The sequence below is a fragment of the Homo sapiens genome, chromosome 12 (genome assembly GCF_000001405.40).
Source record: "Homo sapiens chromosome 12, GRCh38.p14 Primary Assembly".
Classification (NCBI taxonomy): Eukaryota; Metazoa; Chordata; class Mammalia; order Primates; family Hominidae; genus Homo; species Homo sapiens.
This window is the reverse complement of record NC_000012.12, coordinates 95,850,307-95,878,067: the sequence shown is the minus strand read 5'-3', so window position 1 is coordinate 95,878,067 and position 27,761 is coordinate 95,850,307. Positions and strand designations below refer to the sequence as shown.

General features: G+C 39.2%; 2 protein-coding genes and 1 long non-coding RNA gene across 8 annotated transcripts in view, besides 9 other annotated features; 2 read left to right on the top strand and 1 right to left on the bottom strand.

Annotated features, from left to right (window-relative positions):
• The window catches only part of CCDC38 (coiled-coil domain containing 38), a 76,186-nt gene extending 65,166 nt beyond the window's left edge, over positions 1-11,020 (top strand). For all 4 annotated transcript variants that reach the window (XM_011537883.3, NM_182496.3, XM_047428281.1 and 1 more), the window contains 3 exons: positions 5,608-5,813; positions 8,495-8,588; positions 10,879-11,020. In XM_011537883.3, coding sequence (XP_011536185.1) covers positions 5,608-5,813; positions 8,495-8,588; positions 10,879-10,992 — 414 coding nt within the window. In that variant the 3' untranslated portion in view covers positions 10,993-11,020. The remainder of the gene's footprint in view (positions 1-5,607; positions 5,814-8,494; positions 8,589-10,878) is intronic.
• Positions 11,021-11,927: 907 nt separating this feature from the next.
• Positions 11,928-19,116, bottom strand: SNRPF (small nuclear ribonucleoprotein polypeptide F). 2 transcript variants are annotated; one of them, NM_003095.5, is made up of 4 exons: positions 18,992-19,116; positions 16,775-16,900; positions 12,680-12,744; positions 11,928-12,063 (listed from the first exon to the last, which is right to left on the bottom strand). In NM_003095.5, the coding sequence occupies exons 1-4, from the start codon at positions 18,992-18,994 to the stop codon at positions 11,997-11,999; spliced, it is 261 nt and encodes an 86-aa protein (NP_003086.1). In that variant the 5' UTR covers positions 18,995-19,116; the 3' UTR covers positions 11,928-11,996. The 2 variants fall into 2 exon arrangements, with proteins under 2 accessions (NP_003086.1, NP_001381138.1); NM_001394209.1 differs by lacking the exon at positions 12,680-12,744.
• Positions 18,792-19,407: an enhancer, noted in NCBI's record as "H3K27ac hESC enhancer chr12:96252439-96253054 (GRCh37/hg19 assembly coordinates)". NCBI's record gives its function as "activates a minimal SCP1, AML or CMV promoter by ChIP-STARR-seq in primed H9 embryonic stem cells {active_cell/tissue: H9 hESC(primed)}" and the evidence as "EXISTENCE:reporter gene assay evidence [ECO:0000049][PMID:30033119]".
• Positions 18,794-18,843: an enhancer, noted in NCBI's record as "active region_6819". NCBI's record gives its function as "activates an Ori minimal core promoter by ATAC-STARR-seq in GM12878 lymphoblastoid cells {active_cell/tissue: GM12878}" and the evidence as "EXISTENCE:reporter gene assay evidence [ECO:0000049][PMID:35858748]".
• Positions 18,874-19,103: an enhancer, noted in NCBI's record as "active region_6818". NCBI's record gives its function as "activates an Ori minimal core promoter by ATAC-STARR-seq in GM12878 lymphoblastoid cells {active_cell/tissue: GM12878}" and the evidence as "EXISTENCE:reporter gene assay evidence [ECO:0000049][PMID:35858748]".
• Positions 19,224-19,283: an enhancer, noted in NCBI's record as "active region_6817". NCBI's record gives its function as "activates an Ori minimal core promoter by ATAC-STARR-seq in GM12878 lymphoblastoid cells {active_cell/tissue: GM12878}" and the evidence as "EXISTENCE:reporter gene assay evidence [ECO:0000049][PMID:35858748]".
• SNRPF-DT (SNRPF divergent transcript) overlaps positions 19,229-27,761 on the top strand; it is a 63,495-nt gene continuing 54,962 nt past the window's right edge. Inside the window, exons 1-2 of one of the 2 annotated variants that reach the window (NR_135015.1) lie at positions 19,229-19,314; positions 19,481-19,831. This is a non-coding gene — a long non-coding RNA (SNRPF divergent transcript). Of the gene's footprint in view, positions 19,315-19,480; positions 19,832-27,761 lie in introns of those variants that run through there. The other variant, NR_135014.1, reaches the window with a different exon arrangement.
• Positions 19,334-19,393: an enhancer, noted in NCBI's record as "active region_6816". NCBI's record gives its function as "activates an Ori minimal core promoter by ATAC-STARR-seq in GM12878 lymphoblastoid cells {active_cell/tissue: GM12878}" and the evidence as "EXISTENCE:reporter gene assay evidence [ECO:0000049][PMID:35858748]".
• Positions 21,786-21,930: an enhancer, noted in NCBI's record as "145 bp 12:96249988 sequence used in MPRA reporter constructs". NCBI's record gives its function as "activates a minimal TATA-containing promoter with rs10859965 allelic activity by MPRAs in UACC903 melanoma cells {active_cell/tissue: UACC903}" and the evidence as "EXISTENCE:reporter gene assay evidence [ECO:0000049][PMID:36423637]".
• Position 21,858: a transcriptional cis regulatory region, noted in NCBI's record as "rs10859965 or 12:96249988 MPRA-significant variant associated with a GWAS melanoma risk locus at 12q23.1". NCBI's record gives its function as "allelic transcriptional activity by MPRAs in UACC903 melanoma cells {active_cell/tissue: UACC903}" and the evidence as "EXISTENCE:reporter gene assay evidence [ECO:0000049][PMID:36423637]".
• Positions 26,910-27,054: an enhancer, noted in NCBI's record as "145 bp 12:96244864 sequence used in MPRA reporter constructs". NCBI's record gives its function as "activates a minimal TATA-containing promoter with rs12302918 allelic activity by MPRAs in C283T melanocytes {active_cell/tissue: C283T}" and the evidence as "EXISTENCE:reporter gene assay evidence [ECO:0000049][PMID:36423637]".
• Position 26,982: a transcriptional cis regulatory region, noted in NCBI's record as "rs12302918 or 12:96244864 MPRA-significant variant associated with a GWAS melanoma risk locus at 12q23.1". NCBI's record gives its function as "allelic transcriptional activity by MPRAs in C283T melanocytes {active_cell/tissue: C283T}" and the evidence as "EXISTENCE:reporter gene assay evidence [ECO:0000049][PMID:36423637]".

Sequence of the window (27,761 nt, the reverse complement as noted above, 5' to 3'; positions counted from 1 at the left end):
TTATCTTGCCATTATGTAATAGCCAATTTACATAGGCAGAAAGCATTCAAATTGGCATTGGGGTTCTCTTAAAACGTTGCTCTTTTGCAATGCATGATATTGACCATAGTTTCCCCTCGAAATACATTTCTTCAGAGCCTAGACATATGTAGTAGTTCACTGTGTGTTATCATTTTGGTGGTAATTCCAGGAGTAATTAACAGAGGAAGCCATGAATCAACACAATTAACAGTGACTCAGCACTGACTAGAAAATTTTCCCAACACTGAGCCTGTACTAGATTTTTGCCTCTTCAGGCCTGCATAGACTCATTATCAAAACAGCTGTGATATGTGCTAGTACACTTATTTATTGACAAGTTCATCTCTCAGCTAGATGCAAACCCCCTTGAGTGCAGGGATTGACTTATTATTCTTCATTCAGTTGAGGGTCCCTTTAAAGTTGGTGCTCAATAAATGTTTGTTGAATGAATGATGAGGTTAGCTTTTAGACCCACAACCAGCTCCATCTAACATTGATTACCTTATAAAAACCTCAAATGAAATAAAAATTCAAAGCTAATATATAAGGCTAACATTGTTTCGGGACCAAACTGAGGGTTGGGCTGCTATTTCTCGTGGCCCAATAACGAGATGCAGATGAACTGGGGAGGAAGACAGTTTTTATTTCTGTAACTGGTTATAGGGAGAAGGCCTGGAAATTATTGCCAGACCAACTCAAAACTACAAAGTTTTCCAGAGCTTATATACCTTCTAAGCTATATGTCTGTGTGTAAGTGTGCACTCATCTAAAGACATGAGTGATTAACTTCTTTTGATCTATAACGAAGGTCTGAGTCCTGAAGACCTTCCTCTGGAGCCTCAGTAAATTTACTTAATCTAAATGGGTCCAGATGTTGGGGTGATTACCCTTATCTTGTCTCCTGCTAAATCAGGGAGGTTTGGGTAGTTCCTTCAGATCCCCAATAAACTTGTCTGTGGAGGCCTGGAGAGTTTCTTCATCCCCAATAAAACTTGTTTAATCTTAACTGAGTCCTGTTGAGAATTCCTTCATTATTTTGTCATTCTTTAAGACCCTGGAAAGGTCTAGGCAAAACTCTTGGTGGGCTTTTGTTACATTCCAGCCTTTGTATAAGGGCACTGGCTTTTAATATTTAACTTAACCACTCAGTCAGTACTGAAAACAGTTGTTAAGGAGGCTTGCGTTAGTGAGACCTGGCCTGCCACAACATCACATTTATGGATATGAACTTGATTTTCAAACAGAAGTAGAACTGGGAGAACTGCATCAGAAGAAGACTGTCCTCCCCTACCCACAGGTGAACAGGGTTACAAAAAGCACAAGCTGGTTATGGCTCCTCCAGACACACACACATTTCCTAGGGAGTTATAGTGCCCTGAGTTAGTAGGGGATGGGGTTGTGCATTGCCGGGGCCAAGAGGTGTGATGATAGCCACCTTTCAATTCAGTGCTGTTTTTTTCTAACCATTTTTTTTAAAACTGTGGTACAATATACATAACCAAATTTACCTGTTAGCTATTTTAAGCGTGTCATTCAATGGCATTAAGTACATTCTCAATGTTGTGGAACCATCACCACTATTTCCACAACTTTTTCATCATCTTTTCAACATAAAAATGTAACATCTTAACCATTTTTAAATGTACGGGTCAGTAGTGTTAAGTACATTCATGTTGTTTTGCAATCTCCAAAACTCTTCATCTTGCAAAGCTGAAATTCTATACCCATTAAACAATAACTTTCCATCCCTCCCTCTCCTAGCCCTTGGCAACCACCATTTTACTTCGTCTCTCTGAATTTGACTATTCTAGGTACGTCACAAAAGAAGAATCATACAATATTGGTCCTTTTGTGTCTGGCTTATTTCATTTAGCATAATGTTTTCAAAGTTCATCCATGTTGCAGCTTGTATCAGGACTGCATTATTTTTACAGCTAGATAATATTCCATTGTATGTTTATACCATATATTGTTTATTCATTCATCTGTTGATGGACACTTGAGTGGTTTCCACACTTCAACTGTTTAAAATAATTCTGAAACCAATTGACATGCAAAATGTCTGATAAATATCTGTGATATCTCCCCTCCTCCCTGCCCCATCCCAACCAAGCCCCTTTCATCCAAGTTTGGGGCAACTATTAAAAAATAAAAGCGGCATTTTTGATACTCTTTAACATTGAGGCAACCAGATACCTAAAGAAAGAAAGTAGAATTGACGTAAAATTCCTTTTTAAATGGCTATCCATGAAATTTTGATCACAAGTGTAAATTTGGCATTCATGTATTGCACTCTGCGGAAATGGGACTAATAATCCATAGTGTCTTCTAGAGATGTGAAATGTGGGGTGGGGAAGGGGAGGTGAAGCAGGAAAATTGGGAGGGAAACGTATTCTTAGGATTTTTTCCTTCTCTACCTCCATTTTTTCAGCTCTCAGAATATACAAAACATAATCCTTTGAGTAAATTTAGCTGCAGCTCATTTTTTAAAAGATTCTTTTCCAGCGTTATTGAGGTATAATTGACATATTTGATTGTGATATTCATAAATTATGTTACTCTGGAGCTATCAGTATGAAATGAATTTTAGTCTTTCAAAACTTCCACTCTTAATGATACTTAATCCCCTAAAAATTTTGCCCTTGATCCAGTATTTCACTTTTAAAATAACATTTTAAGTTCAAGTATAATGTAATGTTGAGAAGTGCACAAATCACAAGTGTACCTCTCAAGAAATTTTCTCAAAGCAAACACACCCGTGTGCTACCCCCCAGATCAGGGAATACACCATTATCAGCCCCTGCAAACCTCCCTCACACCTGCTTCCAGGCTTTACCAGCCCTCTTTCCCACTGTCCTGACGTCTCATGCCATCAATCAGCTTTCCTGTTTTCGAACTCTGTTGGAATGGAATCATGTAACATGTCTGGCTTCTTTCCCTCAATACTGTGTTTGTGAGACTCATCCATGTTGTTTAGTGTAGCAGTTGTTACTTCTTCATTGAACATGAAATGGAACATAAACTGCTCCACTGTTCAATGTGAGGAATGTGTTTATCTCTGGTTTTATTGTTTTCTTTGCACAAGGAGAAGATCAGCTGCAATTGAGAGAACTGTGTACAGTCAACACACAGCAGAATGTCACATGGATTAGAATGACAGAACCCTTGAGTTTGAAAAGACTTTCAATGACATCTAGATATCCACCCCGGCAACCTTTCCCCTCTCCCGTTTTGATACAATGATTCCTCCTAAAACACTGCTCTGGTCATATCACTTCCCGTTCACTGTTGAAAGGCACCTGAAGTTCTCTGATCAGTCTTCCATAATTCCTGTCCCATTCACCTGGGCAGACTCCCTTGGCAGCTCCTCCTCCGAGGTACTGTGGGCTGGGCCTGCCATCTGGGGGCAGTTCCAGGGATGGGGCTGAAACTTCCCTTCCCTGTCATCAATTGGCCTGTGCCTTGTGCTCCCTTTTGACTTTTTGCTTTGTCAGGCCAGGCTCTCAATCCCTTTTTCATATGTGAATTACCTTCATTCATCTCATTCTTCTCTATCTCTTGTTCTTACCTTGTTATATTAAGAAAATATCTCTTCTCGCCATTTTCTCTCCTCTCAGAAGAGGGAATTTAAGAAAAAAAGGGGGAGGGGGTGGTGGTGTAGAAAAGACATCGTAAAAAGCCACTGCCCTGCTCATCCATCTCTAAAGCCATCTAAGTGTTCAAGAGGTCTCCTTCAGAAATTTCCATCAACTAGCAACCACTCTCATCTTAAAGTTGTTTTTCCTCAAAACCTGTGGTGAATATATTTTTAAAGTATTTTTCTGTGCTTTATTTAGTGACTCACATTGCAGCAGTGTTGTTTTCATATGCAATTTACAATATTTCAATCCGATGGGTTACTTTTATTTTCTTTTATATTTTTCTGTGTCTCCAAGGTTTAGAAAAAGAATGTGTTGTTACATAAATAGGAAACACAGTAAGTGTTATTTTAGAGAGAGGGGAAAAGGGAAATTTATGGCCAATATAGGACTTTTGCTGTTTTCTTTTATATTATTATGTATTTCTCCAAGTTTTCTAAAAGGATCATGTCATTCATGTAAATAGGAAATATAATAAGTGTTACCTTATGAAGGTAAAAAGGAGCTTTATGCTAAACAGGACCATCAGAAAGCTTTTTAAGCTAGGAGGTGGAAGAGAAAAGCTGTTGGAAGTACTCTTGGTATCAGATCTTGGCTTGTAATTGTGTTGGTGGCTCTGTAAGGTGTTTGTGGTTCCAGGAGGGGCTTCCCATGGCTCCAGGAGCCACCTCTCTCTTGAGTGTTATTTGTCGCTGGCTTTATGGTGATTCTCATCTTCTTGAGTGGAAGCAGGAAATGGGGCAGAATGCTACCTGAAGAGTGATTCACATTGCCCAGCAGTTTGTTGAGCTCTTCTTAATTGCAAACACCGGGTTCACAATGGAGACAGAGGATGACAATTTTCTTACGGTCCTGAGACAAGTTACCTACCACCTCAAGAATCTCCACCAACAGTTAAACGGCACAGTGTCGAGGTACAGGGATCAGCAAGGTTTGGCCTAAGCTTTTGTTTAGACTAGAATACTGCAATGGCTTCCCAACGAAAACAGTGAAAATGATACTTCTAAAAAGGCTTTGGTAGGCCAGCCTGGGTACCTGTTTGCTTGCAACTTTTTTTTCTGAGAATGCATTTAGTCATTTATTCAGCAAACATTTATTCAGTGCGTAGTTATGTGCAAAGCACTGTTTTAGTTGTAAGTTTAAGCATAAGATGTAGCTCCTGCTCTCCTGGACTATAAGGATAAGGCAGAGAACTATTACATAGGATGATTATAGTTTCGCAATTATAACAGAGTAATACATGCAAAAAAGGAGGGGGGCTGGGTTACATATTGTGCCAAAAGGAAATGCATCCGAGTGGCAAAAAAACGATTTAAAATGTTTGTTGCCTGTATTTGAATTCTTAGGGAGTCAGATATACAAAAACATTCAAGCAAAAAATATTCCACCCATTATAATTACTTTTCATATCTAGAGTTCAGTATATTTTAAGAAAATAATCCAAGGTGTTCTATAGTAATGCTCTGACTATAAATTATAATATAGGTTAAATATCACTGCTGCATTTTCTCAATGATTTATTAAAACTTCTCATTTTAAAAAGTAAACATTAGGCCAGGCACAGTGGCTGATGCCTGTGGCCGAGGCAGCTCGATCACCTGAGGTCCGGAATTCAAGACCAGCCTGGCCAACACGGTGAAGCCCCAGCTCCACTAAAAATACAAAAATTAGCTGCGCGTGGTGGCGCATGCCTGTAGTCCCAGCTACTTGGGTGGCTGAGGCACAAGAATCGCTTGAACCTGGGAGGCGGAGGTTGCAGTGAGATGAGATTGCACCACTGCACTCCAGCCTGGGTGACAGAGTGAGACTCCGTCTCAAAAAAAATAATAAAAATAAAAATGTAAACATTTAATAGCATATACATGGGATTTTACTGTAATATAGTAAAATGGTATATTTATTGAATGTGGAATGTGATGTTAATGTTTTCTGCTCTTCTCAATCTCAGGAAATACTGATAGACTCACTTAGTAAAAAGATTACTCAAGTATACAAAGTCTGCATTGGAGATGCTGAGGATGACGGCCTCAACCCAATTCAAAAGCTGGTAAAAGTAGAATCTCGCCTGGTAGAACTGTGTGACCTCATCGAATCCATTCCCAAAGAAAATGTGGAGGCAATTGAGAGGATGAAACAGAAAGAATGGCGGCAAAAGTACAGTCAATAAGGATAAGAATGACTTAATGAGTAGCTGGTTTTGCTCAGATTCCACAAACACATTAGCAAGTCTCTTGTGTAATGTCATATTATAGGGACACAGTGAGGAGGAATGAAATCCAGCCCTGCTCTCCTCATATAGCTATTATTTAGCATGGGAGATCATTCATCAAATACTCTTAGGAAATAAATGTGTCATTACCAATGGTAATGAGCACCACGAAGGAAGGAACTGGGTGAACAGAGTTCACCAGGGGCAACTGACCTAGTTTGGGATGGACAAACTAGCCTGGAAAAGCAAATCTTTGTAATTATATGAAATTTATGAATAAGTAATTACATGAAAATTTTTGAATAGCTATCATGGGGAAGGAGAATTGCACTGGTGGTGAAGGACCCAAGATATAGAATTAGGAGCCTGTCATGGGAAAACTTCAAGCAGACTCAATCTACCTGTGGTTCTCCCATGAAGGGCTCCAAATTCCTAATGAAGGAATTGTTTGAAAGTCTGAGCAACACAATGAGGGTTTTCCGCAGTGTATAACTGCCAACATGTACACAACATTCACTCATTTATTCCTCAAGACAACCTCATGAGGATTATCATCCCTGGAGCCCCAACCCATCCCCCACATGCTTACATAGCTTGGTGCCCTTCAAAGGAGATCTGTGCATTGAGGGCGGTATGGCCTGACCGGGGCCTTTCAGAATGCGTTCACTTACAAATTTCCATACCAAGTTAAATAAGAACTTTTAAGTACAAACAGTTGTCCCTTGGTATCTGTAGGGGATTGGTTCCAGGACCTCCCAAGGATACCAAAATCTGCAGATGCTCATGTCTCATATAAGACGGCATATTTGCATATAACCTACGTACATCCTCCTGTATACTTTAAATCATTTCTCAACTACTTATACCTAATATAGTGTAAATGCTAGAGTTGTCATACTGTATTTCTTAAAATTTGTATTATTTTTATTGTTGGGGCTTTTCTCCAAATATTTTCAATCTGCAGTTGGTTGAATGCCCAGATGTGGAACTGTGAATATGGAGGGCCTACTGTCCTAGTTTGAGGCAATGATTATTGTAAATATGACCCCTAGCTTACTGTGGCATGTAGGGAATGTTTACAAGTGGGATAATGTTCACGTAATGGCAAAAAACATGTTGAGAGGCAGACTAGTACTCAGGCTACCAGCCTGGGGATTAGACCATGCTGAGTGAGTTCAGTTCAACTATTTATGACTTTGTGACCTTAGGCAACATAAGCACTCTAGTCGGTTTCTTTATCCGTAAAACGGGAGTAATACTGATAAATACAGGTTGTTGTGAGGATTAAATTAGATGATCCAAGTAAATTATGAGAGCATGCTTGGCGCATAGTAAGTACTCAAATATTAGCCAGTAGTGTTAGATATTTTGTTATTGCCTACTACTTTATGGATGTAGGGTGGATATGCTTACCCACAGTAAAAATGATGTCCAGACTATATCATGGTGATCCTGATGGGATCTTATTGAACATAAAGCAAGCTTTAAAAAAAACTATAAATGAAAAGTTACTCCTTCCCTAAGATGACCTCATTATGACTACACTAACAGCACTTCCATCTTTTTTACACTAGCAAATATATTTGCACCAAAGTGTAATTACAACTCATTTTTAGCAGTGATACATGAATGTAATTCCAATTACTTACATTCTTCTTAAAAAGAATTTTAGCTGATTTTCCCCATGGTTTGGGGCACCTAACACGGCACCTAATTTTGCAATAAAAATGCTCAGTACATGTTATTTCCATTCCCTAGTATATAACCTTACACTTAGAATATCATTAAATAGGTCCATAAAATAGCTATCACATATTTAGTGCCTATTGCTCACCACCTTGTACTTGATAAGTTGCACAGATTACTTAATTTTTCCCTCAAAACAACCCTAAAGAGAGTATGACAAATAGCATTTCTTGCTCACAATTTGAGGATATTATTCAAAAAGATTAACTGGAAGGTACACTTTTGTGGCAGCTCACTAAGCTATGCATTTATTTGTGTACTCTTCTGTATGTATGTGACATTTCAATTAAAAGTTTTAAAAAGAGGAACAAGTAGCTGAAAGTTAATTCAAGTAGCTATTATACAAACTATCTGTAAAGTGCTGAAATGTTTAGGAGGTCAAGGTGGGCAGATCACGAGGTCAGGAGTTCGAGACCGGCCTGGGAAACATGGTGACACCCCGTCTCTACTAAAAATACAAAAATTAGCCGGGTGTGGTGGCATGCACCTGTAATCCCAGCTACTTGGGAGGCTGAGGCAGGAGAACTGCTTGAACCCAGGAGGTAGAGGTTGCAGTGAGCCAAGATCATGCCACTGCACTCCAGCCTAGGCAACAGACTGAGACTCTGTCTCTGAGGAAAAAAAAAAAAAAATAGACCAAGATCTGGGTATATTTTATATTTTCCAAAATGATGAAATTTCTTCCCATTTCAAAATAGTATTTGTTGTCGAGATTTACCTGAATATTCAAAAGCCACGGTTATGAGTAAAGATGAAGTGTCATTTTCATTTACCTTTAAAGGAGGTCTTCTAGTCACATGGCTCATTAACAAATAGTAATGTACTTTTCTTACTCAATGTGATTTATAGTTACAAGAATGTTTCTCCCTTCTTGTGACAGGTTTCGTGATGAGAAAATGAAAGAAAAACAAAGACACCAACAGGAAAGGCTAAAAGCTGCTCTGGAAAAAGCAGTAGCACAACCAAAGAAAAAGGTTTGTTTTGCTATTAATAGATCCAGCCATATCAATATGTGATACAAAATACAAAAACAAAATACTTTATTCGTCTAACTTATCCAGGTTGAACTTCAGAAAGATAATCTTTCTTGCTCACAGCTACAATTGGTCTCTGGTTCCTTGTTACTTTTAGAATAATTCAAATTAGTGGCTCTCCAGTTCTCAATTAGACACACATTTTAGTAAAAGAAGCCTCTTCTCTCCTCTTTTTAGACCTAGGTTCATTAAAATCAGATAATTTTTTTCTTGTTTTTTGGAATAGATTAAAAGCATATTGTTCAAAGTTCAAAAGATACAAGAGTATTCAGTATAAAGTCAGTCTTCCTCAGTTCCCCTTCCTGAAGGCAACCACTGTTAACAGGTTCATTTGCATCCCTCTGGAAATATACATACACAAATATGTATTTATGTACATATTCTTTTTCTTACTAATGATAACTAGGAACTTGGCTTCTTTCACTCAGTAATGTTTTGGAGATGTGAACCCAGAGAATCGCATGTAACTGTGGGGACTGTGTATAATCCCCACATTGTAAAGACAATGAGATTGACAGTTGGAGTTAAGATGATTTGCCCAGAGTCACTTTGACTTAGCAGCACAATCAGGACCAGAAGCCAAAGTTCTTTATTTTGCAAGACTACCTGTCCAATCAGAAGTTTGGGATTAGGTAGTCAGGTACATGTGGTCCATCAATTCTACACAGGGTAAGGAGTTTGTTTCTATATGACACTCTTTCCCTCCTCTGGGATAGCATCTGAAATATGTTCCAGAAAGACAATTTCATGGTTATCTGCAAAGCTATTGCGGATGCTGATTCTTACCACAGTGATAGCTAACACATAACGAATGCTTACTGTGTGCCTTACAACTAACCTCAAGAGGTAAGAACTTGAAAACAATTCTGAAGTATGGGAATTAATATGTGCCATGACAAAAAAACGATTACTTCAAAATATTTTATTGAAATAAATACTTCATCTTAAAAAAGGTATTTATCTAGTTCAATTCTTTCCATGAAGACTTTCCTCACCTGTCCTCTCCTCCCAAGAATTAACCATTCATCACCCTTCCACATGGACTACTTAGCAAACCCACCAAATTGAAATTATTATTTTTTAATATATTCACCTTTCCTTCTAGACCATGAGTTTTATGACGTTTGTATTCCTAATACCTGGCACATCATGGATACTTGATGTGTAGTGAATTAACAGACTAAAAATGAGCATAAAAACTAAAACTGGAAAAAATTGGGGGAAAAAATGGTTATCTGATAAATCAACAACACACAAAGACCTCTGATAGAAGCTGACCCAGTTAGGACACTTCATCATTGCTAATTTTCTCAGACACTATTAATAACAAATGTTACCAAAGATCTTTGACAGTTAAAAATTCCGATATTGCAGAAGGAATTCAAAAATTCTAGTCCCCCAAGGATATTTTTGTTGTTACAATGATGGGGAAAAGTGCTATTGTTATTCAGGTTCTCTCAGGCCTGCAATGCAGGGGACAATCTCACATAAGAATTGTCCTACAATGTCAATAGTGCCTTTTGAACACAGTGGCAATGTCCCATCAAATCTCATAGAATTATGGTAGTTTCCCCACTTATACATTTAATGTATACAAATTCAGCTATAAAAGCAAAACAAAATAAAAAGTGGAGGAGGGAATCCCAAAAGTAAAGAGAAAAATAAGTAGTAATATATTTGAGTATATATGACCCAGAGAGAATGAATAGGTATGAACTCGGGGTTTCCCAAAGCCTCTTCTGTTGGGAACACCTCCAGAAGCCAACCAGTATTCAAGATGGTACATGGTTTTCTGGACTTTTTATTTAACAAGATTTCTAAATGCTAGTCAGGTGCTCAACAGGAGAAAGCCATCTCTTCCAACCATGGACGAAAAACTGGCTATGGCACTTACTGAGAAATAAAATGGTGGCCTTCAACATGGTGCTTTTCTAGGCTGACCACATTTGAACCATATACTATTTGATGACTTTACCTAAGTTTTCCCACTTCCCAATAAAACCTAACTGCTGTTCCTTCTGCATAGTTATTGGTGTCCAGTTTGCTACTCAACTTTGCCTAGCATGTTAGACATCCGTTAGGTTATAAGTCCCTTTTAACTGTGATTAGTTAATGTTACAAACCATATTATTCCTTGTAAAAATCAAGTTAATATTGGTATTTCACAAATTTCAATAGAAAATGGCTATGCTCAAAAAATATTAAGTATTTTGTTTTTCTTTTGTTTCAGTTGGGAAGACGACTTGTCTTTCATTCAAAACCTCCATCTGGTAACAAACAGCAGCTACCTTTAGTCAATGAAACAAAAACAAAATCACAAGAGGAAGAATATTTTTTTACTTGAATAAAAGCAGTAAGACATTTTATTACCAGAATGTCTTAGGTGTATTTTGTAAATTTTAAGTCTTTAAGTATTCATATCATAAGTATTATTCCATATAGCTAAACACTTTCTTCTATACTTTGAGTTGTCCCACTTGGGGATACACAAAGATAGTTTACTGATAAAACTATGGTAAATGAACACTGAAGTGTAATAATGGCCATTCTCTTACAACATGAGAATGTAAATGATGTATTTTCTCAACCCATCTGTAGGGAAGTTCATAGCATACTGTTATTACTATGGACTATACATTTTAACAATGTACAACCCTAAAATACCTGAAGGGTTTTGAGGGGCTTAAAACTCAACCTCGAGGTTATGTCTCAGAACATAATGGGGAGACTGGTTTTTATTTGACATTACATTTTGTTCAGAGAACTTTTTTCTCTTCAGTGAACAAACCGTATGCCTTCAGCCTGAATGTCAGTTCCCAATTTCTGTTGTGCCCTGTCTGTACAATCATTTTAATTTTTAGAAGATGCTTCAATTTTAGCTGCAATATGTGCATTTAGCTTATATTGACACAGAATTAACATGTAATTTATTGACTACTAAGTAAAATAAGACAGTATATTATTAATACCAAGAAAATGTTTAATTTTATACGTTAAAAGTAGCTCAAAAATAACTTTAAAAGAAAAAGTTGCATTTAAAAGGTCTCAGCTAATAGATAATTTTACAAGAAAAGGTCTGAAATTCACCTTCATAAAAATATCTAAAGCATATAAATAATTATCCTTTATGGGAAAAAAAAGAATATTGGGCTTACAAAAGAAAAGCAACTTAAATGAAATTCAGTGGCTTTTAAAGCATTAGTTCAGTGAGTAATCTTTCCCAATTGGTTCATCATTTCAGCTTTGCTTGTAAATATCTGAATACAAATAGTTCACAAGTCAAGTTGAAAAACAAACAAATCTTTATTGTCTAGAAATATATATAAAAAAAATCCCCCACAAAAGATGCTATTCTCTCATTTCCCCATCTTCTTCCTCTTCTTCCACACCTCTGATATAAAGGACATTATTACACCTGTAAATAGAAAAAGTCGATTTTGTTGTTCCAACCAGAAACCATGTATGATATGAATTACTATATTTTTATTATGAAAATACTGAATACTATATTTATAATATTCTTGTCTTTAAAAAAATTTTTTAAATATATTCATTTTAAAAAAAAGTTTCACATAGATTTGTTGAAAAGCACATGGCACTTATTTTCCACCATATGGTTGTTATAAAATGACATCTTTATGATTTTCCAAAGGAAATAATTACCAGAATTTGGAGCTTTGAAGCTAGTACAGAAAATCAATATAACAAAACAGCCAGACCCAACTAAAATTCAAAACTAAGTTCCCGCAACAAAGGCCACTGCAAAAGGTTGCCACTGCAAAAGATTATAGCTAAGAGCTAGAAAATTAAACATCAACACTAGAAAAATCTTTTGGCCAGTTCCAAAACATTTGAAAACTTACCTTTGACAAGTTTAACAATTTCAAAGACTTCTGAAGTCTAACTGTAAAGTATTATAATAGTGATTTTTTAAAAAAAAGTAATTCCAAAATTGAGGCACTAATATATTTAGAACAGGTATTCCTAATGCTCACCAGTAACTCCTTACATATACTACTGCTGTTTGTTACCTTATTAAAACTTCACCCAGATGTCCAGACAAAGCTCCATCTATGTATTCTTCTGTATTTGCAAGCTTTCAATAAAAAGAAATATATTAGTATAATCACACAGGAGGAAAATATTACAATACAGCTAATATTGGTGAGAGAACTCATTAACTGAGACCTTTCTATACCAACAACTCAAATTTATCTATAATTAATAAACAGAAGATGAGCTTTCTATTACTATTGTAGTACTTTTGGTTTCATATAAACCTTCAACGAAATTAATATTCAAAGCTTGTTTCAACATAAGTTTCTGAATCTCCCAGGTTATGTAATATTTCTTTCTATTAGATATTAAAACAGTGTGTGGAAGAAGGCAGTCTCTAACTCATATTGAGGTGTCCAAATAGGTATACGAAAGCTATGGCTAACATGCCAAATACTTTTATATTAGTCAACAACCAAAGCAAATAATTGAGTAAGAATTTTCTTCTTTTCCTGTCTTTTAAGAAACAGGGTCTCCCTCTGTTGCCCAGGCTGGAATGCAGTGGCACAATCATAGCTGACCAAAACCTTGAACACCTGGGCTCCTCCTGCCTCAATCTCCTGAGCAGCTAGGACTAAAGGCATGTGCCACAAAGCCTGGCTACTTCGAAACAATTTTTTCTGTAGAGATGAGATCTTGCTATATTGCCCAAGCTGGTCTTGAATTTCTGCCTTCAAGTGATCCTCCTGCCTTGGCCTCCCAAAGTGCTGGGATTACAGGCATAAGCTATCACATCTGGGCCTGAATAAGAATTTTTAATTATGTACTAATAAACAGGGAAAAACAAGTTCTTAAGAGAAAGGTAAATAGTTAACAGTGACCTTTACAGCTATTTTGGTGAACTACAGCAAAGTAGTGTGTTTCCCTTATGGTATTATTATGAATCGAATGTCTGAGCTCTTCTTACTTTACCTACAGTTATTTTGGTGAATTATTTCTAATTTTATATCAAAATGTTTAGCTTTCCTTCTACATATAGGTAACAAGCTCTACTTGTAATTAAAAGAAAAATCACAATCAATGCCACTTGGGACTCAGAGAAGGAACTAAGGAGTGATGGGAGAGAGGGAGGTTTCCTTCACAATTAGGCACGTGGAAAAGGAAAAGAAAAATAGGGCTTAACAATAAGGATTAAAATAGGATGTTTCATAAGGCATGAAAAACATGGTAATGAACACTACTACTGGATGTTACTCCCTTTCTTATAGACAACAAAAAGTAATCTCCATTATCCAGATGATATAGTTTTGTCTGAAATATACGAGGTTGTTGAGACAGTTTGTATGTAACAGCTATAAGAAATAATGTATTAAGAGCAACTAATTTTTTGTAAAAAGTAATTACAACATTTAACATTTCTAAATTACACAATAATGTTCCAAATACTTTCTATCATGTTCTTCACCATCACTTAACAGGCTCTCTATGGCCGCCATTTTAACCTAACTTTCTGTCATTCGTCCCTTAACTCAATCTGCTCTGGCCTTTTTGCTGTGCCTTGAACACACCAAGCATGCTTCTGCCACAGGGCCTTTGTACTTGCTGTTCCCTCAAACTGGGATGCTTTTCCCCAGATACTCAACTGAGTTGTACACTAATTCTGGTATCTTCCAGAATTCGCCTCCTCAGAGAGGCTACTCTATATAATATTGCACATACTGTCTTCCCCCTTTTCTTCATGGATGGCATCTATCATGCCTATTATCACATTATATTACCACCTCCCACCACTAAACCATAAACTGTTGAGGGCAGGGACTTTGTTTTGTTCAATGCTATATTCACAGTGCCAGGCACATAATGGAATTCAATAAATATTTGCTGAGTGAACAAATTCAAACACTGGTATCAATATGGTTGACTACTCAAAGTGGTTGGTTACTCAGACATTTTGCAACTCTAGCAGGGTCACTAGCAAGCTATATTAATTCTAAAACAAATATTAAGTGGTAATTCTTTTATTATTGAGATGTTAATTTCCATAGCATAAAATTCACCCTTTTAAAGTGTACAATTCAGTGGTTTTCAGTATATTCAAAAACCTGTGCAACTATCACCACTACTTCCAGAATATTTTCATCACAATTCATATACTTCCCAGATTTTTCTATGGTCTTGGTAAATGACTCCTGTTTAAGGAATTTTCCACACTCAAACTATGCTTTGGGGGCCTTAATGTCATGTGCTCAGGTGGTAATTGCCTAAGTTAAGGAAAATCATAGCTCTCTGCCTACTTAAGTACTCCTTTTAGTACTCTGCTTACAAGTATGGAATCCTTGGATTCATGATTGGATTGACCACCTGTCTTGATAGCCTTTAAAAACCTGCCTGGAAACTACTACCATTAAAAAAACAACAAAAAATCCCAAACTAATTTTTTAAATGTGCAAAAGACATGAACAGGCATTTCTCCAAAGATAAACAAATGGCCAATAAACACATGAAAAGGTGCTCAACATCATTAGCCAAATGCAAATCAAAACCACAATAAGATACCACTTCACACCCATTAGAATAACTATTTTATAAACACCCATAGAAAATAACAAGTGTTGGTGAGGATGTGGAGAAACTGGAACCGTTGTGCATTGCTGGTGGGTATGTAAAACCACGTAGCTGCTGTGGAAAATAGTGTGACAGTTACTCAAAAGAAAAAAAAAAATTTCTCTGTCATCCAGGCTAGAGTGCAGTGATCACAGCTCACTGCAGCTTCAACCTCCCCAGGCTCAGGTAATCCTCCCAACTCAGCTTCCTGAGTAGCTGGGAATATAGCTGCCCACACCATCATGCCTAGCTAGTTTTTGTATTTTTTTTGTAGAGATGCAGTTTCACTATGTTGCCCAGGCTGGTCTCAAACTCCTGGGCTCAAGCAATCTGCTGCCTCAGCCTCCCAAAGTGCTGGGATTACAGGCATGAGCCACCACGCTTGGCCTCCTTAAAAAATTAAACATAGAATTACCAGTAATCCAGTAATTCCACTTCTGGGTATATACCCCAAAGAGCTGAAAGCAGTGACTGGAACAGACATTCGTATACCCATGTTCACAGCAGCATTATTTACTACAGTCCAAAGAGGGAAGCAACCCAGTGTCCACCAAGAGGCAAATGGATTAGAATGTGGTATATCCATATAATGGAATATTATTCAGTCATAAAAAGGAAATTCTGACACATGCTACAACATGGATGAACCTTGAATAATACACTACGTTAAGTCAAACAAGCCAGACACAAAAGGATAATACACAATTCCACTTACATGAGGTATTATGCACGGTCAAATTCATAGACATGTAGACTAGTGGTTACCAGGGGTTAGTTAGGTGGAGGAAGGAATGGAAAATTATTGTTTAATGTTTAATTGTAAAATTATTGTTTAATGGAAAATTATTGTTTAATGGGCAAAAAATTTCACTTTTGGATGGTAAACAAGTTCCAGAAATGGACAACGGTGATGGCTGCAGAACAATGTGAAGGTACTTAATGCCACTGAATTATACACTTAAAAATGGTTAGAGTGGCAAAATTGTAATGTATATTTTACCACAATAAAAAGATAATTAATTACAAAAAAACCCACCAAAACACATGGCTGAATCATTTACAGAAACTCGTTTGACAGACATACAGTCAGTTCAATTCCTTTGGCAGATCTGTCTTTCCCCTGAAGGAATGAATTTCCTCAATAGCTTTGGTGTTGTGCCTTTAGCATTCATTAAAAGACTCAATAATTTCACTTGAAAACTTTCTTTCAGGGCTAAATGATGAGAAATGTTTTGTTTTCTCCAGCAAAGTAGTGTGTTTCCCTTATGGTATTATTATGAATCAAGTGTCTGAGCTCTTCCTACTTTAACTACTAGGAATAAAATCTGTAGCTGAATTCTGGTTTAAGTCCATGTCTTGTACCTAGTATATCACAGTATCCCTCCTGGCTTTGACTTTATTTTTGAATTTTGCCGTATATTTGTCAATTTAATTGTATGTATTCTTATTAGTCAGACTAAACCTTTGAGAAATAAGGTGAAGCAAAATAAATGCAATGTTATGACCTTTACAGCTCTTTAGCTTACCTGCATGTTCATGTAGCCATCTACAGATACCAGATAGCCCTTGTACTCCATTCCCCACTTAAGTTTCACCATCACTGGCTTTCCTGTTAGTCCATTGAGGAAAGGTTTGGGATTGAGGGGTAAACTCTGCACAAAGAACAAAAAAGGATCTAATTAATTATTTTTCCTCCCACCACCAACTCTCTTCTACCGAATCACCAATATTTTGTGGTATGCAAATGAAGAAAACTTTTGACTCCTTATTATTTTAGTACATAATTTTCACTTTTATTTGTTGAGAGTACCAGGGAAATTTAAATATCCAGTTAGCCAATTTCACCTTTAACCCATCAAAACAAAACACTGACTATTCACTTAAGATACACTGACTACCTACATCACTCACTGTTCTGAGCTCTAAAGAAACAAAGATAAAGGCACTAAAAAAAAAAAAAAAAAAAAGCGGGCCAGGTAGGGTGGCTCGTATCTGTAATTCCAGTAATCTGGAAGGCCAAGGCCGGGGGATCACTTGAGGTCACGAGTTCAAGACCAGCCCAGGCAACATAGTGAGACCCCCATCTCTACCAAAAATAGTCAGGTGTGGTGGTGCACACCTGTAGTCCCAGCTACTAGGGAGGATGAGGTGGGAGGACTGCTTGAACCCAGGAGCTCGAGGCTGCAGTGAGCTATGATTAGGCCACTGCACTCCAGCCTGGGCAACAGAGCAAGACCTTGTCTCTTATAAATAAATAAATAAATGAGTCCCTGTCAAGAAGTTGGAGATGGGGAGGGGAACTCCTCACATACAAATAATTATATTGCATGCTGCACTGTAGTAAAAGGAGATATACTAGGCACAAGGGTACCAAAGCAATCCAGGGGAAAAAGGAAAGGTTGCCTGAAATAAGTAATACCTCAGTTTTAAAGGATAAGAGTTTATTTCCAGAGCGGGAAAAAATGCTGTTCCAGGCAAGGCTAGCTACTTATGTAAAAGGAGGGAAGAGTGATGCAACAAGGTGGTTTTGGGGACATACAATTCAGCATTGTCAGTCAAAGCCCCAAATATAAAACTACAGAAGGAAGCAGAGGGCAGATCACGCTTGACAGTATTTAACTGGGGAAGCTAGGGCTAGGTCCTATCTGACTTTGTCAGTAGCACCGCCTCTTACTTACAGCAATTACTTAATGTCTATTTATTCAGCAAACCATTAACATCTCCAGTGATTTCGGTTTTTGCCCTCTTCTGCTCACTCACCAGTCAAACAAAGAAGAGAACTAAGAAACTTGGCTACTAACCCCCTCTAACATGAGCATATTCGGAGTGATCTTGATATGGCGATTACTCCAATAACCTAATGGGTCTCCAGTTTTCATTCTCCAATTTGTTATCCACCACAGTAACTATGATTTTTTAAAGTGCACATCAGATTGTCATATTTCTGCTTAAAATGATCCAATGGCTTCCAACCGAATCATTTTAAATTGATTTGGAGTACAATCAAAACCTCCCAATACAGCCTAAGAGGTCCTGCCCAACGCCTGCTCCTCCGATACCATCTCTTAACCACTATTCGCGCAAGTGGCTATACCTTTCTGTCAATTTCTCCAAATGACCAAGCTTTCTTTCCGGCCGCAGGTCTTATGCTCCTATTCCCTGTGCTCGGTACACTCCTCCTCCTGCTCTTTAAAGGGTCGTATTTCATGACACTTAGGCTTCGAGTTAAATTCCACCTCCTAGGGAGGCCATCTCTGACTAAGCCTCTAATGTCTAACGCGCACCCTCACAGCCTCCTGTCTGCATTGTTCTTAGCACTTATTATTTGCAATTACATACTTGTTATTTTTTGACTAATGTCTGTCTTCCCCACCCAAGTGAGTTAATCTAGAGCATGGCCGTATCATTACTTTCACGGAATGAAAGTGAATTCTGGAGTGTGGTTAAGTGGGAAGTGCAAATTCTCTTTGACTTTTACCCCGACCCTATAGCCCCAACTAAGAATACCCCAGGCCCGGATTCAAACAAAGAGAAGAAGGCACGGGCACTCCTAGGAAAAGAAAGGCATCGGGAGGAGCACGCGCCTCAGAAACCTAAAAGCAGAGTGAAAGGAGCTGGCGACAGGGTGCGCGGCGCCTCACGCGGATGAATGGGAAACGCGCGAAGGAACCAGCAGGCCCCGCGAGGCTGGTCTCCCTCCTTCTCTTTCTCCCCGCTTCTCCCGCCGTTCTCTTTCTCCTTACCATCGTAACCACGGCCGAATGTTGCAGGCTACTCTCTGCCGACCAGGCCGCCGCCCGTCCCTCGTGACTACAGCAGGTACCGCAGGTCCCGAGCCGCAGTTTCAAGAGAAATGGCCGCCAAACAGGACTATGACCTTTCACCTCCCACCACGGCCCTTCCTGCCTCTGTGATTGGACGCAAAGAGGTGCGTGCTGATTGGAGGAGATGGCTGGCCCAGTATCTCCTAGCAACCAGCAGCGGCTTGGGTTTGCGCCTTGCAGGCGGCGCGCGGACCTTGGGAAACCGGCTCTGAGCATCGCTGTGAGGCAGCCAAGGACTGGAGGCAGGCCGGTGTTTTTAAATGTGGTGTCCTTCCTAGAGGGCGGTCTGGGAGAGGCTGTGTAACGGATGTGACTTCTCCCCAACTTGGCTAATGGGGATTTACTTTGTCTTTTTACACCCGTGAGAATGTTCGGGGTCCCAGAGTTCCTTCCTCACTCTTCCAACAGGTTCCATGATTTGGGGGCGCCTCTGCCGCAGGCCCTTTCTACCTGAGTGTTCTCTCTTCTGCAACACCCGTTTTAACCCCTTTTAAAGGAATTGGGGGCTAGCCAGACTAGACTAGGGGCGGCGAAACGCACTGAAGAGAGTTGGATACAGAATTTCTTGCAAACGAGGTCGAGTTGCGTCTGGGATACGGTGTCATGCCCCACCCCCGCCCCACGACCCTGCCGGCCCCACCTTTCTTTTGCTTCGCCTGCAGAAACCCGCACGGCCTTCATACGTGCATTTGAAATTACCTAAGGGCGTAAGCAATATTTCCTCTGTCACGGATTAAAACTTTCGATGTAACGGTGTTATCTGAATCTCACTAGTTTTTGTCGTAATCCTATTGAGTTCGGGTCACTCTGATCTGAAATGCTAAATGCAGTTCTTGGAGAACACGCCCTTTGGGAAGTAACGCTTTTTTGCGGCCCTGAAGAGATGGATTTGGAGTTGAGGATGAAATGTTGGGTGTTGAGGCATTGTGGAGCAGTGGGCAAGACTTTGGAGGGGGCCTGCATTCGGAACCTGCGTCTATCAGGCGCGGCCGGTGTTGGGCAGTGTCTTAACCCCGAGGGCCATTGTTTCCTCGGCAGGAACGCGGCTTTAAAAACGGAACCATCCTCAGGGTGGTTGCGAGAATTTAACGTAAAACGGGGCTTGGCCTTGTAAAAGCTCAGTGTTTCACGTAAATGTTGAACACTGACCAGACAATGATTGTCAGTGTAGTTTTTACCAAACAGTTATTAGATTTATTCACCCTAAACTTCAGTGGATTTCTCCGTTTGTCTATTGTTTTATGAACTTTAAGTCTTTGTATAGACTTTGAGTTCCTACTATGTGTCAGGCTTTTTCAACAATCGTGGAAATCTTACCTTACTGTCTGATTCGGGGTGACAGCCCCGTTTAAGAGATGAGGAAGTAGGCCCAGCAGGTAACTGTTACCAGTTGAGGGTAGCTGTCCGAGTTCTTGGCGTTTTCAACAAAGAATTGGACAAAACGCACAAACAAAGCAGGGCAGCGAAAGCAGAGATTTATTTTAAATGAAAGTACACTCTACAGGGTGGGCACCGCCTGGTGCAAGCGGCTCAAGAGCATTGGTTATAGAATTTTCTGGGCTTTAAATACCCTCTAGAGGTTGCCCATTGGCCCACAACCAGTCTGATTGGTTGCGGGAGGGGACCAATAAGAGGTACTTTCATTTTTCAACTGCCACGCAGAAAAAGGAGGGGTTGAAATGGGAGTAGCCTCTGATACCCAGTCAGCATGGATGGGCCCTAGGTTCCCTGCTTCCAGCCGCTATTCTTCTGCCTCATAGCTTGCTCAGGACCACATACCTGGGTTTCAAAACTCTGCTTTTTCTACTTCATGAAGCTACCTTTCAAAGACTCAATATGTGTTTTAGAAGCCTGACTCTTTAGCTGTTTTCTCAGTGAAGTGAAACGAAATACTACAGTAAACACATTCTGTAAAGATAGTGTATTTAAGGTTGGTTTTTCTTTTCATGTTAAATTTTTTTTTTAATTTGAGACAGGGTCTCATTCTGTCACCCAGGCTGGATTGTAGAGGTGAGATCTTGGCTTACTGCAGCCTTGACCTCTTGGGCTCAAGAGATCCTCCCACTTCAGCCTCCCGAGTAGCTGGGACCACAGGCATGTGCCACCACACCCAGCTAATTTTTTAATTTTTTTTGTAGAGATAGGGTCTCGCTGTGTTGTCCAGGCTGGTCTCAAACTCTTGGGCTCCAGCTGTGTACCCACCTTGGCCTCCCAAAGTGCTGGGATTACAGGCGTGAACCACCATTCCTGGTCCATATTAAATTTTAATCTTAAATACCTTATTAAAATTAAGTGGGCATAAGTCACTGATATTTGTCTAATTATAAATATTATACAAAATTTTGGAAAATGTAGAAAGTTCTAAACAATAAACCTAAAATCACTAGTAATCCCACCAATCAAAGAGAACAACAATTAACTTTTACTGTAACATATGCACTTTTTTTTTTACAAGATATCTACAGTTTTTTGTTGCTGTTGTTTGTTTTTTCTTTTTTGTTGTTGTTTTGGAGACAGAGTGTCACTCCGTCACCCAGGCTGGAGTTAAGTGGTGCGATCTCAGCTCACTGCACCCTCCGCTTCCCAGATTCAAGCAATTCTCATGTCTCAGCCTCCTGAGTAGCTGGGCTTACAGGCATGCAGCATCACGTCCAGCTAATCTTTTGCTAATTTTTTTTTAATTTTTAGTAGGGATGGGGTCTTACCACTTTGCCCAGGCTGATCTTGAACTGCTGAGCTCAGGCAGTCTGCCCACCTCAGCCTACCAAAGTGCTAGGATTACAGGTGTGAGCCACCACACCCAGCCTACACACAGTTTTGTAACTTGTTTTCTTCACTTTATATTGAGCAAATTCTCATATGACTGAATATACTCTTCTAAAATGTGGCTTAATGTCTTCATTATACTTTGTATTTTGCATCTGTGATAATGTATTATTCTATTATTTTCATTTTTTCTCCTGTTATAAACAGTCTGCACTGAACATACTTTTACATGAATCTTCAAGTGTATTTTTGATTCTTTACCATAAATTCTTACAAATATAATTCCTAGGTTAAAAGGCATTACTATTTTAAAGGCAAATATATATATTGCCATGTTGGCATATGGCTCCACAGAATATTCATCAGAATAATTGCTTCAAATATAGGGGAAATAACAGACTTTGTATTTTTTCGAAGATGAGATAGAATACATTTTGAGCACATATGAAGAAAACGACCCCTAATTGTTAATTAGGATGAACAGTTTGGTGAGTTCTACCATTATTTATCCTATAACCCAAAAATTCCAGTTGTATACAACCATCTAAAAAGGAATTTATGAAATGATTTAGAAATATTTACTGAGGTGAGTAAAATGAATGTATGATGTCTGCCCTTGTGGAATTTTAAAACCTCTTTGAGAAGAAGGGGACCAATACATATTGAATGCCTTTCATGTTATGCTAGGATATTTTATTATGTAATTTGTCTAATTTAAATCCTCACAGTACTTCAAGGTAGATATTATTATCATCCCCATTTTAGAGATGAGGAGACAGCTTCAGAGAGATTATGTATTTTTGTCAAAAGCCATGTGGAAGGTAAAATGGCTCCAAAGCCTAAGATTTTTCCTTTATACGATGCTGCCGCTCCCAAAAATGTGGTTAAGTAGAGTACAAATAAACAAATATATAGAAATACAAATATTAATGCAGTCAATGAAGAGGGATAGCATTTAGGAAGTTACTTTTGAAATTGATGAGCTCTTCTTTTTATTTTGTTTATTCTCATAATTCCAACATCTTATTTTTTTCTGATTATGGCCAGAATCAGCTACAGGTATGATCGGAATAGGTTTAAAGGAGGAAAAATCCAAGATTTGAATGCTGTCAGGTGGAAGCTTTTTATATATTTTTTGTCAAACCTGAGAGATATGGTATTCTGTCTACCGAAGAAGTTAAGATTAAAAAATATATAAGCTTCTTTGGATCATACAAACACTGAACCTAGATTAGAATTCAAATCTTTTTGGTGGTTCAAAGCCCATTGTACCATTATAGAGAGACAATCATACCTCAAAGGTGTAGGAGCATAAGAACCTCCTCTCTCACCTCTTGAGGTTTGATATTTGAGTCTGAGAAATAAATAGACAATAGACCAATTGGTCTATCTATCCAAAACAAGGAGAAAAAGCACAGCGTAATTGATTTATGCGCATGGGAGCATCACAGGAAGGCGAATGCCCAATTCTAGTAGTGCTAGACCCAATAAGGTCTAGAAGTTTATATACCCTTATGCATAGGGGAGAGGGGAATGCAGGATGTAGGCAATTTTAGAAGAGTAATAAGTGATTTTTACAAGAGATGAATGGGTCCATGGAACAGACAATAGTCTGGGACAAAGTTCATCTGGGCTGTGGGTATGGTGTTTGATTTTCAGTCTTTTCCTCTGTGATATGAGTTTAATTTTCCTTGGTTAATGAAATTTCAGTAAGAAGATTGAAGACAATTGTTTTCCTCTTCAGTGGATTGGATCTTTAGGTAGATAAGGAAACTTCAGAGAAAAGTCTCTTCCTGTGCTTCAGGAGAGGAGGAGGGGCAAGAGATGGGGGGTGGGAGAAGGTCAGAGAGAAGGTCAGACCTTGGTTCTGAGGCTGCTGCTTTAGTGCAAAGTAGCAGTATGCTTCGGGGTATCATTTTCTGAGCCCCAACAAAGGAAACCTGGTATTGTGGGTAGGAGCCAATACTGTCTGAGTTCAAATCCTGACTCTGCCATGTGCAGCTTATCTCTGCTTCAATCTCCTCATCAATAAAGAGGATGATCATGATAGTACCTATCTTAAAAAAATTTTTTTTTAGTGAGGTGGGCTGTAACTATGTTGCCCAGGCTGGTCTCAAACTCCTGGGCTCAAGCAATCCTCCTGTCTCAGTCTCCCAAGTGGCTGGGATTATGGGTGTATACCACCATGCCCAGTTCAATACCCATCTTATAAGGCTGCTATTAGGATACAATATTTGTGGTGTTTATCCACCTCCTGATACTGAATAGTTTCTGTAGCGAGGTACGTAGGCACGTGAGTAGGTCAATGTGACCTACAATAACTAATGCTAATAACTAATATTGGACTACTTGTTTGCTGTTTGCTAAACTGCTGCTTGCTCAAAAAGTTCTGGGCTGTTGGCTTTGATTCTTCAGCTGTGCTGGAATCCACTGTGCACATCTATCTGTCTGGGTCTATCACTTCACCTCTTGGGACCTGGGGGGCAAGGGAGGCTGACATGGCTAAGACAATGCTTCTGTTTGCTGTGTGTAGTAAACTGTCTTGTTCTGATCCACATAGTCTCATTGTCTCCTTTCAGCACCTGTGGAGAGACAGCAGGTTTACTCCTTGCTACCTGAAGTTGGGGTTCTCTCCTGACTCTCACAGGGTTAACATTAAATGAAGAACATTAAATGAGATAATATATGCAACGCAGTACAATATCTGGTCAGTTCGATAAATATTTGTTCTCCTACATTTATATTCAATCAAAATCTAATTATCCCCAAAAGCTTGGTTTAAGTAATGTAAAACCAATGTAAAAGTAGCACCTTATATATTTATGGGGAGACCAATCCCTTTATGGACCAGAAAATTAGTTTGCCTAATAACTCAAGATATAAGAGATTAGTCTAGACCCAAAACCACATTTATTAGCCATTAAGTGCAGAGGGAGCTGGAGGGAGCTAGCAATCAAGGACCTGGGAAACAGATGAGACAGAAAATGAGTGGATGCATACAATTTGTTCATATATATTGAGTTATATTAAAAAAGCAGTATAGGCCAGGCAGTGTGGTGCATGCCTGTAATCCCAGCACTTTGGGAGGCCGAGGTGGGTGGATCACTTGAGGCCAGGATTTCAAGACCAGCCTGGCCAACATGGTGAAACCCCATCTCTACTAAACCTCGTCTCTACTAAAAGTACAAAAATTAACCAAGCATGGTAGTGCATGCCTGTAAGCCCAGCTACTCAGGAGGCTGAGACACAAGGATCACTTGAACGCAGGAGGCAGAGGCTGCAGTCAGCCGAGATGGCACCACTGCACTCCAGCCTGGGCGACAGAATGGGACTCTGTCTCAAAAAAAGAAGGCAGTATATACGGCAGCAGAAGATAATAAAAACAGTATATTTAATAGCACATTATATGATTGTTTTATATGATTGACAACATAATGGTTGATAATGCTGGTTCTAGAGGCCAGGTTCGAATCTGAGTTTGAATCCTGCCCCCAACACTTACTAGTGGGAACTTGTGTAAGTTACCCGCCCTCACTAAGCTTATTTTCCCATGACATAGGGATAATTGTTTCTTTCTCCCAGTGTGGTAGTGGATGTTAGGAGTTAGTACAAGGTTGTTCCTCTATCCTTCCTGAAGATGTGGTTTTAAAACCATTAGATGGAGTAAGCAAAGTATGCACCTGTGCTGGGGTATGGGGGTAGTCACAGTGGTCTGAATGGAGTGAGGAGAACATCCACATAAGAGAGCAGCCAGTGTGGGGTGTCAGAGCCTGAGCAGGAGGAGGAAGGTATCTACATAGGAGGGCAGGCAAACATGGGAAGTTGGTGCCTGAGGAGGTGAGGATGGTGATCACGCATGGCGAGGGGCAGCCCAGCACCAGCCATTGGAGCCCAAGTAGGATGAAGCATCCCCAGAGGGTGGCCTGACAGGGAGTGTTGGAGCCTGAGTGGGGTTAAGAGGGTGTCCACACTGCGGGGAAGAGGGTGGCCTGCTGTGGAGTGTCAGAGCCTAAAGGAAGCAAGGAGGATGTCCATGCAGAATGACCTGGCACACGGTGTCAGAACCTGAATGGAATGAAGAAGAAATGCAGGGGAGGGGACAATGGCAGGAAGGGAAATTTGTTACAAGGGCACTAATCAAAGGAATCAACCTATAATAATGAGCATACTTAATGCTCAGGTTTTAGTTTCTAGAAACTGCTTCCCACTAAAGGAATCAGGATCCCTTCGAACATTGGCTATTTTCAGTCTTCTTCACTATAGTAACTGGTAGACACCATCTTATTACAATCCAGTGATCAAACAACTATCGTTAGCAACTGGAAAATCAAAATCAGGTGCCACATGATAAGATGCAAAGAAAAGATGCATTCTGTGATATTCTTACCAAAGCCACATAACCTGAATCTAGTAATCAGGAAATATCAGACAAACCACATTGAGGAACAAAGTGGCCTGCAATGTTCAAGAGTGTCAAGGCCACAGAAAGATCTCCATGATAAATTGCTGAGAAAGACAAGGCACCGAATAATTTGCAAAATATGCTGCCTCTGTATAAAAAGAGAAAGAAGGGGATAACAAGCTATCCATTTCTGTGTATGTGCATAAGTATACTGGAGGGCTCCTAAGATACTAAGAACACGGGTTGCCTATGGGTGTAGTGGGAACTACACTGAGGGCAGACAATGATGAGATGTTTCACTATGCATTTTTTAAAAACTTTTAATTATGAAATTCACATATTAACCATTTCAAAGTATACAATTGAGTGGCATATAGTACATTCACAATGTTATTGCAACCACCACCTCTATATAATTCCAAAACATTTTTGCAAGTTCATTTATTTGTTTGTTTGTTTTGGGATGGAGTCTCGCCCTGTCACCCAGTTTGGAGTGCAGTGGTGCAGCCTCGGCTCACTGCTAACCTCCGTCTCCTGGGTTCAAGCGATTCTCCTGGTTCAGCCTCCTGAGTAGCTGGGATTATAGGCACATGCCACTACACCCAGCTAATTTTTGTATTTTTAGTACAGACGGGGTTTCACCATGTTGGCCAGGCTGGTCTTGAACTCCCGACCCCAAGTGATCTGCCTGCCTCGGCCTCCCAGAGTGCTGGGATTTCAGGCATGAGCCACTGTGCCCAGCCCATTTTCACAACTTTAAAAGAAAACTCTGTAGTCATTAAGCAGTTCCTCCCTATCTTCCTTCTCTCCTAGCCCATGGCAACCCTCAGTCTGCTTTCTATCTCTATAAATTTACCTGTTTTGGATATTTCATATAAATAGAAACAACATGTGACCTTTTATATCTGGCTTTCACTAAGTGTAATGTCTCTGAGCTTCACCCACATTGTAGCTTGTTGTAGTAGTAGTACTTCATTCCTTTTAATGTATGAGTATGATTCCACTGTATGTATATACCACATTTTGTTTATCCCTGCACCTGTTAATGGACATTTGGGTTGTTTCCACCTTTTGGCTACTGTGAATTTTGCTGCTATGAGCATTTGTGTACAAGTATTTGTTTGAATACCTGTTTTCAATTTCTTTGGACATATACCTAGGGGTGTGGAATTGCTGGGTCATATCATAATTTTACACAGAACTTTTTTTGAGGAACTGCCAAACTTTTCCACAGCAGCTGCGCCATTTTATATTCCCACCGGCAATGTATGAAGGTTCCAATTTCTCCACGTTCTCACCAACAATTTGTTATTTTCCGTTTTTGTTGTTGTTTTAATTATAGCCATGCTAGTGGCTATAAAGCAGTATCTCATTGTGGTTTTGATTTGCATTTTCCTAATGACTAATGATGCTGAGAATCTTTTCATTTGCTCATTGGCCATTTGTATATCTTCTTTGGAGAAATATCTGTTCAAATCCTACATACCCTTTTAATGTTCTATTTTTGGAACTTTTGAATGT